This window comes from Homo sapiens, chromosome 15 (assembly GCF_000001405.40).
Source record: "Homo sapiens chromosome 15, GRCh38.p14 Primary Assembly".
NCBI lineage: Eukaryota > Metazoa > Chordata > Mammalia > Primates > Hominidae > Homo > Homo sapiens.
Genome location: NC_000015.10, coordinates 84,520,738 through 84,538,899, shown reverse-complemented (window position 1 = coordinate 84,538,899; position 18,162 = coordinate 84,520,738). Strand labels below are relative to the sequence as shown.

At 37.7% G+C, this 18,162-nt stretch overlaps 1 pseudogene across 1 annotated transcript in view; it reads left to right on the top strand.

Moving 5' to 3' along the window:
• UBE2Q2P1 (UBE2Q2 pseudogene 1) overlaps nt 1–11,704 on the top strand; it is a 43,600-nt pseudogene extending 31,896 nt beyond the window's left edge. The window contains exons 5-6 of the transcript NR_003661.2: nt 284–368; nt 11,233–11,704. The product of NR_003661.2 is annotated as a UBE2Q2 pseudogene 1 (transcript). The remainder of the gene's footprint in view (nt 1–283; nt 369–11,232) is intronic.
• Nucleotides 11,705–18,162: the final 6,458 nt, after the last annotated feature.

The window sequence follows — 18,162 nt, the reverse complement described above, 5'->3', positions numbered from 1 at the left end:
GACTGTTTTCCTTTAGAATGACTGCAAACTCTGAACCCCCTTATTCGATTAGATTTAGGCTATTATAATCTCTTTGGGACATTTATTCTAAAGGAGCTGGAAGCTATAGTGGCCTCTAGTTTTCCTGGGGATATAAAGCAGCTTAAGGTCTCCTCTTTCTGGAAATTACCCTAGGTGCTGTATTTTAGCTTTCAGATTGGTTCATTTTTGAGTTAGTAAAATTAATACAAATAATAATAATAATCTTTTTGTTTGAATTGTTTTTTGTTTTGGAATTCTCAAGGTTGACCCTGATAGTTCTTTGCACAGTGATCTTCAGATCTTAAAAGAAAAAGAAGAGATAGGAGACATTTTGCTTATGTTTTAAGGTAAGAAAATTTTTATGAGACTCTATATCCTATGAATGGGGGTATATATTTGTACAAGTGTTTTGGAAAACAGTTTGGTAAAGTGGAAGATACTCATACCCTATGGTTCAGGAATCTCGTGGATATATACTCCACAAGAAATGAGTACATATGTGCCAGGAGACACAGGAATGTTCAGAGCAGCATCGTTTATAATAACCCCAAACAGAAAATAACCCAAATGTTCATTCCAATAAAATGGAGAATTGTGGTATTCATAAAATGGCTTACAGTCATGTGGGACAAGATGAGCGAATCTTGAACACTATGTTAAGCAAAAGAGACCAGACCCCCAAAACCTATTTTGTACAATTTCCTCTATATAGAGTTCAAAAATAGGCAAAACTAATGTTGGTTAGGGCATACATTCTTAGCGGAGGCAATATCGCCTGCAGTGGAGTGAAAATTGGTCCTCAGAGTGAAAGAAAATCTGACCTATTATAATGGTCTGCTGCCCTCCAAACAGCCATAGAACATAAAAGAAAACTGAGGAACACTTCTTTATGGATTCATACTTGGGCAGTAAAACTATCAAGAAAAAAGAGGCGATTACACACAGGGTAGGGTAAGGAGTCCATCTAGGTGGGAGGTAGGGAGGTGTGAACTGAAAGGTACATCTGTGGGCTTCTTGGATACTGGCTGTAATATATTTCTGGACCAGGTTGGTGGTTACATGGGCAAATAATTTAGAATAACTTGTTAAGGTCTACCTTAAGGTATACTTTGTGTACTTTTCTGAATGTGTTATATTTAATAAAGTACTTTTAAGATACTAAAAGGTTACAAAAGAATAAGAATGGAATCTAGAAAAAATGTTAATGATCTAATATGGAATCTAGATAAGATGTAATGTTTTAAAATCTATGGCTATATGAAGTATTTTGATGAAGCACACAGACATAAAAGAATACTTTGTTGTACTTTAAGGATGGTAGTAGTTTTCTAAAAGCTTCTTACTTAGCTTTTTCATGTGTGTATTTTTGCTTGGGGATATATCTTATGATTGAACTTTCTTGAAATGACCCTAATGTTAGTATTTTCTCTCAATTTTGTTATCATAGAAACTGTTGTGGTTGTCAACTGAGTTGTCTTCCTGAAGTATGAATCCAGTGTATATTGACTGAAGTTGCTAATGGCTACTTCTTTACGGATTCATATGGGTGAACGAATGAAGCACACGGGCCTACAACAAAAAAAACACACACACACACTAAACAGGAAGATACCATTTTTTAAAAAAAACATTAAATCATATGAACATATGCGCAACACCAAACTTCAGAAATAGAACCTTTGGCTGGGCGTGGTGGCTCACTCACGTCCATAATCCCAGCTCTTTGGGAGGCCGAGGCAGGTGGATCACCTGAGGACAGGAGTTTGAGACCAGCCCAGCCAGCATGGCGAAGCCCCATCTCTACTAAAAATACAAAAATCAGCCAGGCGTGGTGGCAGGTGCCTGTAATCCCAGCTACTTGGGAGGCTGAGGTGGGAGAATCACTTGAACCTAGGAGGCAGAGGTTGCAGTGAGCCAAGATTGCACCATTGCACTCCAGCCTGGGTGAGAGGAGTGAAACGCCATCTCAAAAAATAAAAATAAAAAAGAAATAGAACCTTATCAGTACCTGTAGCACCCTCTGTGCCCCTCCCTTGTCATGTCCTCTTTGGGAGGTATCTTGAAGGGAATATGAAATCTTGGCCAGGAAACTGGAGGATTTGTGACTGCAGGTGGTGTTTTCATTATTTTTTCCTGCTCTAGTTAGAACTTCAGGGAGGGGATGATCTGGGAGGTAAATGGCTGAAATGCTATTGGATTTGTGTTTGTGGCCCATGGCTCCTGATACCAGACAGAAGGGCCTTTTCTGGGGTTGGAGTATTTCTTAAGAGGCCTGGGAAGAATGTGATTGCCTTGAGCTAACTGACCTTCTGAAGAGGACCTTAAACTGAATTGCCAAGTTATTAGTATTGGGATTCACAGACTTTGGAGATTAGCAGGTATGACTCAGAAAGATTTACAGGAAAGAGCCAGAACAATATGTTTATGGCCTCTGATGTCCACAGTGACAACTTGAGAGTCGTGAATAATAAGCAAAATTGAACTTGAGATAAAGTATAACACAAAGATGGGAGTGACTGCAGGAGGGAATGTGCCCTGGTCAGCAACTTGGTAAATCCAACTTGCTGTACTTTTAAGGAAGTCGTTTTCTGATGTTACAGGCAACATCAGAATTACCGAATTGAATTCTGAGGTAGCACTTTAAGAAAGGTCTACTTAGATAAGGTTAGGTTCATTTAGAGAATAATAGCCAGGATTGGGAAGAGATTCTTTTCCATGTCCTAGGATAGCTGGTGAAATTGTGGATTTGGAGAGGAAAACATGGGGGTTCTGGTTCATGATAGATTGTCTTCAACTATTTGAAAGAGTATGTATATGGAAGCATTAGTTTTTATTTTTTTTGGTGAAGGCAGGGCATAAAACTAGAACTAATAAGTCAAATTACAAAGAGGTGATTTTCAACTCAATGTAAGGAAGTGACTTGTAACTATTTAGACCCATCTGGTGATGTAGTCTTTGAAAACTAGAATGTTCTTCATCTTTAAGAATAACTTAGAAGGCTGAGATGTCAAATGGGAAATCAGATAACTTCATGAGATCCTTGTAGAGCCTGAGAGTCTGGTTCTGAGTTAAAATATACTAAGGTAACTCAAACTTAATTTTACCAGTCACCCTCAACCTTTATTTTCCCCTCCCTGAAGAACTCTTTTTATTTCTGTAAAATCTTGATTCCTGAGTTCCAGGGTACAGAGCTTATGGAATAGAGTCCCCAGGTTTTGATGTAGAGGATCCTCTTTCTCCTGTCTGAAAATATCCTTTAGTATTTCCTTTAGTGTGAGTCTGCAGATAGAAAAAATCCTTGCTTTTTATTTCATCATTGAAGAGTATCTTCATTGAGCGTAAGTCTCTAGATGGGCAGTTTCCTTCTTTCAGCACTTGGCAGATATCATTCTCTTATGCCAGCTTCCATTGTTTCTCTTGAAGTGTTTATGGTGGTTAAATCTTGTGAAGTCTTTGATCAGTTTTGGGAAATTCTCCACAACCATATCTTCAGCTCTTGCTTCTGTCCCATTCTTGTTTTTCTTCCAGTGCTCTACGTATGTGATAAACTTTTCAATATGTTGTCTTTTATTTTCTCAATTTTCCACCTTTTTGTCTTTCTGACCTTTTTGCAGTTTACTGAATCTGTCTTCTGCTAGGTTACTGATGTGGTTAAGCTTATCCATTATGTTATTAATTTCAGTTTTGGTAGTTCTAAATTGCAGAATTTCATATGGTTCATTTTATAATTTGCGTTTCTCTGCCAGGTTTTCAGTCTTGTCCCATCTTTCCTTGCTCATGTTCGGCAGTTATTTTGAAGTGTGTCTGCTAACTCTGTTATCTCGATCCCTTGTGGTTTTGTGTCTGTTGTTTGCTTCTCTTGTTTTCTGTTATGTCATCTTTAAGTCTCATGTGGCTTTCTATTTTTAGTGATAGACATTATATATGGAAAAATTGTAGAGCTAATTTGAAGCCTTGGATGATATTCTTCTCCAGAGAGGATTTACATTTCCCCTGCCAGGGGCTTGGAAATTAACAATCAGGGATTGAGATGATTAAAGCTGGCCATCATTCCCTGTTGGGGCATTTTGCAGTTTGCTCTTCAGATTCCCAACCTAAGGAGTGGGAGACTTAGCAGGGCCTCTCCTCGGTGGATGCTGAGCTCCAATGTTTATCTCCCTGTGAGCTCTGTGAGGCTGTGAGTTCTAGCTCAGCTTGTTAACCTCTTCTTCTCTGCTGTCATTGGAAGAAAACCCAAGGTGTAAAAAAGAAGACCCTGTTCTCTGGTATTCCCTTTTCTCAGCCCTGTAATCATTACATTTTGTCCACCTTTCTAGTTCTCAGTGAGAGGATTGATCTAAGTTACCTACTCTATCATTATTGCAATGGTTCCTTTATATAGTTCTATTGAAGTGAAACCCCTTCATATGTTACATAAGTTTACCATAACACTGTTCTGTTTGGGCCTGATTTTAACTTCATTTTTATTTGCTTTGGTTTTCATTTCATTTTTTCTGTACTAATTTTACCTTTATGACTCTCACCCATTATCTGATAATAAATGTACATATTCTTTTATAGATTCTTTTAAAATCTTCTAAATAGTATATAGTATTAACGATGTTCTTAAAATTAATTAAACTTGCTTATTTGCTTTTTAGGATAACTTTCCATTTGATCCTCCATTTGTTTGAGTGGTGTTACCTGTTCTCTCAGGAGCATAAGTTTAAGTGATTAAGTGATTACTTGAAATGCTTTTTTTTTTTTTTTTAGTTTAAAAAATTTTTTTGTAGAGATGAGGTCTCACTATGTTGTTCTGGCTGTTCTTGAACTCCTGGGCTCAAGTGATCCTCCCACCTTGCTCTCCCAAGGTGCTGGGATGACAGGCATGAGCTGCTGTGCCTGGGCTACATTTTTTTTTTTAATATAGTGTGCACCAGAATCATTTGGAGAGCTAGTCCCAGGGTTTCAGATTCAGTAGGTCTGTGGTGTTGCCTGAGCATTTACGTTTTTAAGAAGTTCCCAGGTGAAACTGATACTGTTGTTCTGGGGCCTACATCTGGAACCACTGGTTATAAAGCATTATGTTGTTGATAGGTAGAGATTTTAGTGTTATATATATGCATATATACACATATATATACACACACACGCACATATTTACACATACACACACACATATATATATATATTCATACATACTTTTTTTATCATAAAAACCAAAGATTTTTCAAATGTAAATTGTGATTGAAGGTTTAGAGAACGTTATGATTACAGAGTGGTCCCCCACATACCTATGATCCTAATTAGTACTTCTAGGAATAATCATGGGAAATCTCATGGACCTATGGAGCTGGCTGATTACTTCTAGAGGTGATAGTTGCAGTGTAGTAGAATCAAATGGTAATTGTCATGCAGTTTTACTGAAATTTGTATTGCTTCTTTTTTGTGATTGGAAGTCTTACAGAAGTGGGGAAAAGTCACAGTTTGCTAGGTTAGTTATGAAATGTTCTGTAGACCCTTAAAGTATGAGCAATTTAAAGTAACTTGAGGATTTTCAAATACTCAGCTGACTAATTCCATTACGTGACATAATCCACCTTATGGTGATTAAAATCTAAATATCTCCAGCCCTTACTTTGATCATTTCTATGGTTGAGATAGTAATAGTTGCATTTAGGGTAAAAATATGAGTGACTACTTCAGACTTCAGAACTTTTCTCCAGAAGAGCTTTGTTGCTACAGTTATTTTTAGTTGTATTTGCTTTACATACTTATGCATGTGTTTTGGGGGCTAAGATCCTGTTAAGAATCATTTTGCATAATCAGAATACATATTAACTGTGGTGCTGATACTACGGAATAGTTGTCTGGACATGATATCCGTGTGTAAAAGTTCAGAGAAACAAGAAGTGTGGGTTTAAAAAAAAAAAACCTTAGTATTACATGTGGATGTGCTGAGCTCATTTTGAGTTTCCCCACACAGTAAAGGAATATTGGTTTTATTATTTAATTACTTAATTTTATTGAGACAGGGTCTTTCTCTGTTGCCCCAAGCTGGAGTGAGTGGTGCAATCACAGCTCACTGCAACCTCTGCCTCCCAGGCTCAAGCCATCCTGCCACCTCAGCCTCCTGAGAAGCTGGGACTGCAGTCGTATGCCAGCATACCAAGCTAATTTTTGTATTTTTGATAGAGACAGGGTTTCACCATGTTGCTCATGTTGGTCTCGAACTCCCAGGCTAAAGCGATCCACCCTGCTGAGCCTGACAAAGTATTAGGATTATGGGTCTGAGCCACTTTGCCCAGCCCAATGTTGTTTGTTAAAATTTTTTATTTATTTACTTATCTTTTGCTTTTCTGTTTTAATTTTTAAATTTCTATTTTTTTCAATATTGTGTTTTAAGAGTTTACTTACCTGACGCCTGCAGCCTAATCTTTGCCATATCTCCCCAAATGTTCTGTGAGTGCTAATATAGTGGTATGGTAATAGATATTTGTTTTGTGGGGATTGCAAGGTTTTGGGGAAGGCAGCTTCAAAATGTCTTTTACCAAAGGACTTCTTGGAGCCTTAATGCCATTTTCTATTTTTCCCAAATTTGTTTATTAGTGTTCCTGACAACATCTCAGAGGATGGTGTCTTCTGGCTTACTCTGGGAAATGCTGCTCTGTTGGAAATCTGGAGTTCTGAGTGATCCCCATGCGTTTTCTGGTACAGAGCAGGACATGCTGAAGTGATTCCTTCCTGAGCAGATGTCAGAGGTCTCCCTTTGACAGCTTGTTACAAAGTTGATCACAAATATACTATTACGGGGAGTGGAAGTCCCAGGTTGGGTGTGAAGCAGAGTTGTTTAGAATTGTGTACTATTTTGTTACCTTTAAATCTTTTCTAGGCTGTTTTGGTTTTGGCAGTAAAATTGCTATAAAAAGTACTTCTCTTGGCATACAACCTAATGGTCAGCTTTGGAAGTTCAGTGTTAGGTAACCCAGCCAAATACTTACGTATACAAAATAAACACAAGACTGAAAAATAGTAAATGTTTAACCTTTGTGTCTCTTGCTCACTACAGCAGCCTTTAACTAGCCACCAAGCCATAGTTCTTTTGTTTGTCATAGTTGAATTTCAAAATGTCTTTTTAATGAAGCCCTTCCTGATTGGGGAGAAAGGACATAAGTATTGTGCTTTAGTTTTATGTGCTGGTTTATAAAATTGTGTATGTTGACTCAATATCCCCATAAGCATAGGGAAAGGAAAACAGGTCATTTTTTGTTCAGAATCTTATTTGAGAAAAAAAAAAATGATCAAAGAAAAGATTTGCATAAAAATCTGCAAATTCAGGATAAATGTATGAAAACATTTTAAAATGTGATTATAAAATAGACCAGTATAGCTTTTCAACATTTGGTTGTAAGAATCCCAAGAATGTAAGTTTATGATCTTAGTATACCACCTAGAATCGAGACAAATACATGAGGTTATGAATCATGCCATTTTCAGTTTTAAAATCTGTTACATAGTTTCTTCATTGATTCTTTTTTGCCACAGTGTGTTATGGTCCTCATTATTTGGATGAATAATTTGAATAATAAGTCAGCTTGTGACTTACCTAAATAAATCTTCTGATTCCTAGTAAAGTGTTTTTCATTATATGAAATGCCAGCTATATAAGAGGAGATTAAAAGTACTAAGAACTATAAGTTCCGCATGGATTATCATATGCTAACCATGGGCCAGGCACGGTGGCACACACCTATAATCCCAGCACTTTGGGAAGCTGAGGCGGGTGGATCACTTGAGGTCAGGGGTTCAAGACCAGCCTGGCCAAGATGGTGAAACCCCATCTCTACCAAAAATACAAAAAAATTGCCAGATGTGGTGGTGCATACTGGTAATCCCAGCTACTCAGGAGGCTGAGTCAGGAGAATCGCTTGAACTCGGGAGGTAGAGATTGCAGTGAGCTGAGATTGTGCCACTGCGCTCCAGCCTGGGTGACAAAGATAAACTGCATCTGAACAAAAAAGAAAAAGAAAAGCTAAGCATGGACTTAATTTCTCTGAGGTTTAAAGCTGCAAAGAGTTGCTCTTCATGAAGTAGGTGGGATCTCAGCTGGGCAGTGAAATGTGAGTGGGGTTTGGTCAGCTGGTGGAGGCTGCAGGAAAATTATTTACGTAGGTGAAGAGTAAACACAATCAGGTATCTAGGAAAGAGAATGAGGAATTCAGAGTATACGAAACCAATTTGAGCTATAACGCAAGGAGGGTAGGATTCATGTAGAAGAGTTGTAGGAAATATTGCGGATGTAATATTTTGTACTCAAACAGTTCTGTGGATTGGTGACAGATTTTTTTTTTTCAGGTAAGTAAACTATTACCCCTGGATATTCATCTTTCTATGTAACTGGTTGAGAAATGGGAGTAAGAGTAAAGAAACTGTTTTCGAATAAATCTGGTGACAGCAGAAGAGAATATGAGACACATTGTGCTCACAGAGCCTAGAAGAGTGTGACAGTAGTTGAGGGCCATGCTGTTGTCTTAGAGTGAAGTGAGGAGAACTTACATAGGTGTGGTAGTCATGGGAGTGGAAGGAGGAATGAAATGTGAAAGCCCATTGGAGGCAGAATCAAAATGGCTTGGTCTTCATAGTCAAATATTAAGTAAGGAGGAGGAATTATTGGCTGACTTAGGAAGAAGTAAAAAATGTGAAATACCAATAAAACACCAGGCTTGCAATTTTAGTCAGGGTAAAGCTTAAGTGTTGTGTGATTCTAGATAGATTATTGAGCAGTTTTGTTCCATATATTTTATATCCCATATCTTTGAGCTATGATCCTATTGTTTATTTCTTGACATACCCAAACATTTTTAAACTATTGTGATACAGCTTTTATATGATAAGCCTCACCCTTTGAAGTGTACAGTTCAGTGGTTTTTAGTATATTCAGAGTTATGCAGCCATTACCATTAGCTAATTTCAGAACCCTTTCTTCTCCCCAAAAAGAAACCCCATACCCATTAGCAGTCGCTCTGTGTGCTCGTCTCCCCCACCGTTCATCCTGGCAACCTCTGATCTAATTTCTGTCTCTGTAGATTTGCCTATCCGGGATATTTCATATAAATAGAATCAAACAAAATGTGGCATTTTGTGACTGACTTTTCTTTGAAGTGATTATAAAACAAATGCCTGAAGAGGCAAAGCTTAGGATAGTTTGCTGTACAGCTTTGATAACTGAATTTTTTTTAAGTTGAAAATATTACTGTGTCTGTATATGTGGCATATTATCCTTAGATGACCCTTACTTCAATTATTAGAATTTTTTTCCCTAGTATTCTTGAACTGTCTCAATATTCAGTAGGAACCCCCCTTTGGAGACAAAGAGCAGTAAGAATTTGGAACACATATTGACAAAATGAATGTCATTTAATACAGTAGTGGAGTCGACCACTTTTAGGCGTCAACGCTGCTGAAAGTGTATATTAAGGAAAAGTTTACTTATCTTACTTATCTAGTGAAGGTACTAGAACTACTTCTGTCTTCTGTTTAGATTTCAACAAACATTTGCATAGGTATTATGCGGTTGTACAAATGTACTGTCTTTTGACCTGAAAATGCAAAAACTTCCTTTCTTCCCACTTTCTGAGACTCTGCAACCTTAAAGGAAGAGTGGGGTACTTTAAAGGAAAGGTGGTGATGGTTGGATAATGGGTGACAATGTCTACAATATACTTCCTTTTCCCAAAACAAGTTCCTGTCTACCATCAGCATCTCCAAAATTTGAAGATCAAGTGTGGTGTTAACCCATTAACTAATGACTAGACTTTGAGCAGTTGTGGAACCAAAATCTGAGTGAGTGCCTGGATGTTCTAATTCTGTTAAATCAGTGAGTGCACATTATATACAATACTCTTTTAGCTCAGTGGCAGATTTAAGGAGTGAGAGATAGATTTCTATGTTTCAGAAATCAAATACACAAAGAATAAAAATTTTTAATCCCATGATTCTTTACCTGAGTTTAATTTTTTGGAGAGTTTTTCTTTTAGATTTTCTTTTCCTTCCATTAAACTTTCACTTTGAAAGTTCCCAGGGTTTGGGCAAAGCAAGTGGGAAAGACACTTGCTTGGATTCTCCAGGGCAAGGGAGTTAAAGAAGACTTCTTTCCCTCATTTTATTATTGAATAATGTCATGAAAACAATTATTAAGGTGAATGGTCTACAGTAGAAGTTTTTAGATGCCTTCTCTGCAAAATAATTTGGTTTAGTCAATGCAAGGATGCCTTTGGTTAGCTGGAATGGAAGATGTGCAGGCTAGAGTGGTCTTGGCGAGTCTTCTTGGGGGAAATACGGCATTTGGAAGGGTAGGAAGCAGAAGGAATCTCAAGCAAGGGAAAGGTGTGGGCAGAGCCCCGGAGGACAGAACAGTTTGTGATGGACTTGGTGTCCACATAGATCTAATCAGTGGTCTTAGCTTTTGTGTTTTCAAAATTACCACAGTTTTTGTTCTAAAACTATCATTCCCTTGATTTTACTTTAGGCATGCTATCTGTGTATTTTGAAATTTAAAATAACGTTAGAGGAGAAATGAAATTATTTTGTTTGAGAAGGAGTTAAAAGGTTAAAGCATCTTGAGCTAAATAATTTTCTAATGGGAGATTTGGTACATCCCCAGAAGTTGTCTTTGGTTCAGAGAACAGTCTTCAGACCTAGAAAGGACTTGAGGAGTCCCAGAGAGGAGCCGCATGGTGTGAACCATTCGATTCTCACAACAGAATGGATAAAAACAATTTGAACCATGAAACCATGCAGATGTTCATATTTTGGATAGGGTAGGGTCAGTGCCATTGTCAGAGGAAAAACTCTTGGCAATCACAGGATGGGAGAGAAAGTTTCCATTGTAAAGAATACTCAAATGCCATTTAAGGAAATGGGTTCTTCTGCCCCTATTCTTTGGAATATTTAGGGCCAAGTTCTTAGTTTTTGACATAAAAATTTTAAAGTATTCTGTTCTGATTGCCGTTTCAAACAATTGACTAGAATTTCAGAGCAATTACATGAGAGTAATACCATTAGAATTTTTAAATTACCCATAGTCCTATATGCCTAACAAGTATGTTCATGCTTACGTGTTCTCTTCTTATCTTTACTGTGTGCATACTTTCTTAATAATGCCACATGGAAATTGTTTAAGCAGGAATACTCCTCAAGATAATTTTGTATGTTTCCTTTTTTCTTTTTAAGGTATGTATTGGGTAGAGGAGCATTATATATGGAACCTCTCACAAAACAGGTGATTATTTTCTTATTATACTCAATTTTCACCCTGAATAGAGTGTTTTGATTATGTAAGTTAGATCGTAAGTAGATGGCTCTCTTAAAGACATTTTAGTGGTTTTTTGTTTGTTTTGTTTTGTTTTGCTTTTTTCCGTAGCTCCTACTTTCAAGAATGAAAAAGGTATCCCAGCAGTTTGGGAGGCTGAGGCGGGCGGATCACGAGGTCAGGAGATTGAGACCATCCTGGCTAACACGGTGAAACCCCGTCTTTACTAAAAAATACAAAAAAATTAGCCAGGCGTGATGGCAGGCGACTGTAGTCCCAGCTACTCGGGAGGCTGAGGCAGGAGAATGGCGTGAACCCGGGAGGCAGAGCTTGCAGTGAGCTGAGATGGTGCCACTGCACTCCAGCCTGGGTGACAGAGTGAGACTCCATCTCAAAAAAAAAAAAAAAAAAAGAATGAGAAAGGTAAACCAGTAAAATAACATTGTGCTTGGTGCTGAACCTATGCTAGTATTGGCATTAACACTGACCTTTATTTAAGGTTCTAATTTGTTCATGTTGGGCACTTAGAACATCGGTTTGTTGTTTTTTTTTTGTGAGATTCTGGAAACATTCCAATTTTACCTTTTCCCCTTGACTCCAGACTTTTTAACACTGGTCTGCTACTGTTAAGTTGTATGCCATTTTGTTAGGCCTTCTCAAGTGGGAATCAGGAACGCTGCTGTGCTCTAGAGATGTTTTGTTCTTCCTGTAGGGCTGAAGCAGTGCCTACTCGATAGAATCAGTCATCATGCAAATAAAAGCCACCTGAGTCAAAGGCAAAGCCAGAGTGCAGCTTGGAGCAAAGAAGGTACTTTTATTAAGAATTTTACATAAACCATAAGATATATTTTATGCTACTTTGTGAGCCTTCTTCCTATCTTAATTCTTTTTGAGAGAATTCATTTCATTTTCATTTGGTTTGTTTTCTTTTTGTTAAAAAGATGATCTATAGAAAATATAGAAGTGTAAGAAAATTAAAGTTACTAACTGATAATCACTTAATGATTTAGTATCTGATTGTTTAGTCTTTGTTATATTTACTGTAGAGAAACATGTCTACAGTTGTAAATTTATTATTGTTATGTATACCATAGTAAAAGTTATATGTACTTTGAAGTTTTGCAAAATTGAGTTCATGTTATAAAATTAATTCCTGATGAACTTTTATGTGCTAGGCACTAGTCTTTTTATTTACTTATTTTTACTTTTTTTGTTTCCCTCTGTGCCTATGCTTACCAAGTCTTTTTATTTTTTACTTTTTATTAGCTCTTTCAATCCTCTTAATAACTTTAAAAGAGGGTATTATTAATATCTGCATTTTACAGATGAGGCAACTGAAGGTAGGTAACTTGTCCAAAGTCACAGGTGGCAGAGCAAGGATTGGAACCAGACAGTCTGACTGCCCTAGGCCCAACCAAGAGGAGCTGAGAGCAAGCCACGGGGCAGAAGGATGTTGGAGGCTGGTTTTCTGTTCAGTTAACATGAAATGCAGGCTGTAACCTTAATTCCAGGACATTACTGAGAAAGTCTTCCAAAGCCAGAGGGGTTTTTTTTGTTTTGTTTTGTTTTGTTTTCCATGACCATGACTTTTGAGCAAAAATTTGGTTTTGTTTAAAGGCAATATGGTGCTCTAAGAAACTTCCACTCACACTTATGGAGGGAATGGTAGTTGAGCTAAATAGTGAAATGCTGTAGCACACAGCCTTTAGGGCAGCTTCTGACCTATTTCTATGGTCAGGAAAGACACCTATCTTTGCCTGCTGCCCACAGCCTCTAGTTATTCACCTTCAGAATTTCCTAGTCTGTGATCACATTCAGATGAGAGATCCGTTTTGTTTTTTCCAGGGTAGCAGGAAGTGAGTCACCACCTATACTAAGCAGTCTAGTCTTCTGTGTATAAATGAGCAAGGGTGGGGAGCCAGATCTGAGAACCTTGTGTAATGCTGAGATGCTCCAAGAGAATCCAAGAGGATGTCAGGATTATGCATGGTGGTAAAGTGGTCTCATGTTAGTTGTACCCACAGCTCTCATCAGAAGCAGACACAGATACTTTTTGTAGGAAAACATCTCTAACTTAAGCCTGTAGGATTCCCAAAGATTAAAAGCAGGCAAATATGATTTCAGTCAAATCATAGCATTCAAGTAGTCTCAACCCAACATATTTGAGAATTGTTAGAAACAATGAATATGTTTCCCAAAGACTAGGTTTTGGAATTATCAGATACAGAACACAGACTTCAAATATTAGAATTGTGAGAAAATAGTTACATGTCAAACCTAATATAAAAGAAAGATGGACTCATTAAATTGAGCAACAGAAAGGCCACCAGGAATGAGGAGGAGGACCTGAAAAGAAAATGGATGAACTAGAACTTACAGAAATAAAATATATAGCTGGGTCTGGTGGCTCACACCTGTAATCCCAGCACTGTTTGGGAGGCCGAGGTGGGAGGATGGTATGAGCCCAGGAGTTGGGGAGACAAGCCTGGGCAACATGGTGAGAACTCGTTTCTGTAAAAAATACCCCAACACCACCAAAAAAAAAAAAAAAAAAAAAGTAGCTGGGTATGGGGCACGTGTCTGTAGTCACAGCTAGTCAGGAGGCTGAGGAGGGAGGATCACTTGAGCTCAGGAGGCAAGGGCTGCACGTGCATGCCACTGCAGTCCAGCCTGGGTGACAGAGTGAGACTCCGTCTCAGAATAAAATGAAATAAAGAAATAAAAAATGTAATTGTTGAAATAAAAAACTCAGTGGATGGATTAGACATCAGAAGAAAGAATTAGTTGGTTAGACAATTATCTCCCAAAAGTGAGTCAGTATGTTACACAGAGAGACATGAGGATAGATGATAGGGCAGAAGTTGGTGGGGTTGTAGGGGGAGGGAGACCAGAATGAGGTCTAAAATATGTCTTAGTGGAATCCCAGGAGGAGATATTAAAATTATATTAGAAAGTGAGAGAAATAGAAGTTCTAAAGGCAATAGAAGGAAGTCCACATAAATCAGTCACAACAAATGTAAATGGACTAAAGTTACCAGTTAGGTGGAACTAATAAAAGAATATCCAGCTGTTTTAATCCATCATATTTAAAATATAAGGATATGAGAAGATTGAAAGTTTTTATAAAGGAGAGAGAGTAATGAAGATATGGCAGTATACATTAACCAAAAACAAGTGATGGAGCTTCAGTATCAAAAAAGGATTTTGGAACAGAAAGCATTAGTAAGAAACTTGATGCTGACTGTTAATTAGGAGGATGTAGCAATTTTCATATTTTATGTACCTGTCAAAATAGCCTCAAAATGCAGGAGAAAAACTGATAAAACCACAGGGAGAAATTGACAAGTCTGCCAGCATATTTGGAGATTTCACCATACCCTGCTTACCATAAGTAAGTTACACAGAATGCCCATATGTAGATTTGAATAACCAGTGAATGGACATGGTGTAATGGACAAATATAGGCCTTTGTACCCAATAATTAGATATTCTATATTCTTCTCAAGCATATGTGGACTGTGGGAGAAACATTAATTATATATTAATTCGTAAAGCAAGTCAGAAGATTTAAAAACAATTGGTACCATCCACACCATATAATTTATAATTTAAATATGAAGCAATTAAGGTTAGAAGGCAATAATGAAGAGATTAACAAAAAGCTACATGAATTTGGAAATTAAACACCCTTGTAATTCATGGTATAAAAAACTCAATACAATTTTAGAATGCTTAGAATTGAACCATAGTTAAAATATGAAACTTCTCTCTGTTCCTGTCTCTCTCCCTCTCCCTCTCTCTTCCTATCTGGAACATTCAAGAAGCTAATCTTTTTCAATGAAGAACACCCCAAATACTGAAAAGTAGGAAAAAGACAGATGGCATTTCATGGTAATCCCTTCCCCCAAGAGTGTAGAATGTTTCTTTAGCTTCTTTGATAGTTTGTTTACTTATTTATTAAGTACTTACTATAAACCAGACTCTGCTTTAATTTGTGATGAACAACCTAGAGATTAAGTCCTGCCCTATGGATTTTATATTAGAGTGAGAAAAACAGATAGCTAAGTCTGGAGCTCAGGGGTGAGGCCCAGGTTGGAATTATAGATTCACTTGACCAAGGTGAAACCTGGTGTGCCCCCTCCTACTTCACATCCCCAGACATACTTCTGGAACATTTCTGTTCTATTCTTGTGTATAAACTCTTCCTTTTGAGCCTCTCTCCATTAATGCATGTCAACCTCTACTTGTCTTTTGTTGATTTTGAGGCCACTTGCCCATATAACTTGGAGGATATTGAAGAAGAATCATACCGACCTGGTTCTGCTACCTACCAGCTGAGTTACTTTGGTCAAGCTCTTGGACTTCTGAGGCTGTTTCCTAATTTCAAAAGTGGGTATATGATGTGTTAGGCCCTGGTGGGTTGCAAGGAAGAGGTACACACATACCACCTTTGATGATGAGGGCCGAATGTTAACTTGGATGGAAAGTCATCCAAACAGCGATATTGTCTCTGGCCCTAGTAATTTCAAAACCTCACAGAATATTAATTTAGCAGTATTTAGGATAGGGTTTGAGCTCTGAAGACCTACAGTATGGTTATTTGTTCATATGGCTGTTTTCCATACTAGACCATGAACTCCATGAGGGCAGGGTCTACAGTTTCATCTTTGTCTCCTAGGCACTCAGTTCAGTGCCTGATACATAATAATAGAGGCACAAATGTTTTAAGAGTTGAGGAATTTTCAACTCTTTCTGAAAGAATAGGAAGATATAAAGGCTTCTCAGAGACGGTATTATTTAAGCTGATTTTGTTTTTGTTTTTGAGATGAAGTCTTGCTCTCTCGCCCAAGATGGAGTGCAATGGCGTGATCTCAGCTCACTGCAACCTCTGCTTACCAGGTTCAAGTGATTCTTCTGCCTCAGTCTCCCGAGTAGCTGGGATTACAGGCATCCACCACCACACCCAGCTATTTTTTGTATTTTTAGTAAAGACGAGGTTTCACGATGTTGGCCAGGCTAGTCTCAAACTACTGATCTGAGGTGATCCGCCCACCTTGGCCTCCCAGAGTGCTGGGATTACAGGCATGAGCCACCATGCCCGGCTTATTTAAGCTGATTCTTTAAGGGTAAGTAGAAATTTTTTCCAGGTGAATAAAACCTTGAGCTATTATTCCAAGCAGAGACCAGTAGGTGCAAAGACACAGGGATATAGAGATGCTGAAGTTTACCAAACACTGCTAGATTAAAAAAACAAAAAGGAAACTATCAAAATCAAAAATTAAAATTAAAAATCACCTATAATACAAGCTATGAATGGGCTTGGCCAGAGGTCAGATCGCAACTGAGTTAACTATGACCGTAGACACTCAGTAATGGATGGAAGTTTTAGGGAAAACACATAACATTCTCAGGTTGTTGGCAGAGTATCTGGAACAATTTACAAATACGGGCATTGAATTCTGGGAATAATTACACTGTAGTGATATCATTTCCTTCTCTGCGTATGAAGCATGTATGTATTGCACACTGTTCAAGGTGCTGAAAATCAGACTCTTCTCGAGCAATCAAGGGAGATGGATGGGTGAGCAACTGATTATCATGTGACAAGTGAGGTAACAGAGATATGACTAAGATGGTATCTAAACAAGAAGAAAGGAATTATTCATAATATATGGAGTTCTGGGGAAATATTTCTCAAATGAAGCCGGCCGGGCCGGATGGCTCCCACTTGTAATACCGGCACTTTGGGAGGTGGAAGTGGGAGGATCCAGGAGGATCTAGGAGTTCAAGACCAGCCTGGTCAACAGAGCAAAGCCCTGCCTGTTTCTATATTTGAAAAAAAATAAGTAAATTTTTTTAATGAAATGATATTTGAGCACTCTGGAGCACCATACAAATATAGGACAGACTGAAGGAATGTATCTGGCTTGAGTTAACATTTATTGAAATTTTATATTGCAAAAATAGTACATATTCACTGTTTTGAAACTAGAAAGAATTGATAGGCAAGGAGGGCTGTCTACAAAGCACTCCATAGATCCACCATACTGAGACAATGCTTAATGCTTTGATGGATTTATTGTATACTATCTATGCATATGCATGTATTATATACATACATGTGCATGGTTAAATAGAAATATTTCTCCTTGGTGTTAATCCATTTATTGTTATGCAGTAAATCCCCAAAGAGCACATTTGCTTTGCCCAAGGGAGTCTTTTGCTACATACTGCTGTACATAATGAAAACTAAAAAATTGGCTAACTTTTCAGCCTTGTGACCTTGTGGTGATTCAAATAGAGGCTTCATCAAAGGCAGATTCAGAAATGAACTTGGTATGTGGGTGGTTATGCTTGGCATTATTGTTTGTAATAGTATGATAGGGATGACTTCAGTGTCCACCAACAGGGAACTGGTTAAGTAAACTGTGGTACATCCAAACGATGAATACTGTGCGGTTGTAAAGAAGAATGACAAAGACCTCTGTACTCATGTAGAAGAACTCACATATATTGTGTGTGTTTTAAGAGGAACAAGGAATGGTATAGTATGTATGGTATGCTACTTTTTGTGTTGAGAGAGAAGAGTAGAATAAGAATATACGTGTGTATTTGCAAACATAAATTCCTAAATGATATATAAGAAACCAATTAAAAGTGTTTGGCTGTAGAAGGAGAATAAGACTGTGAATGGGATTTGGCCACATACTTTTATAGGTAGTTATATTTAAAAATTTTCTGAACCATGTGTTTGTACACATGACCTTTTTAAAAATAAGTGAATGAAGGAATGAAGTAGGATTATGAGAAAGAGATAAGAACAAATGATCTAAGGGGCTGCCCATCTTTTT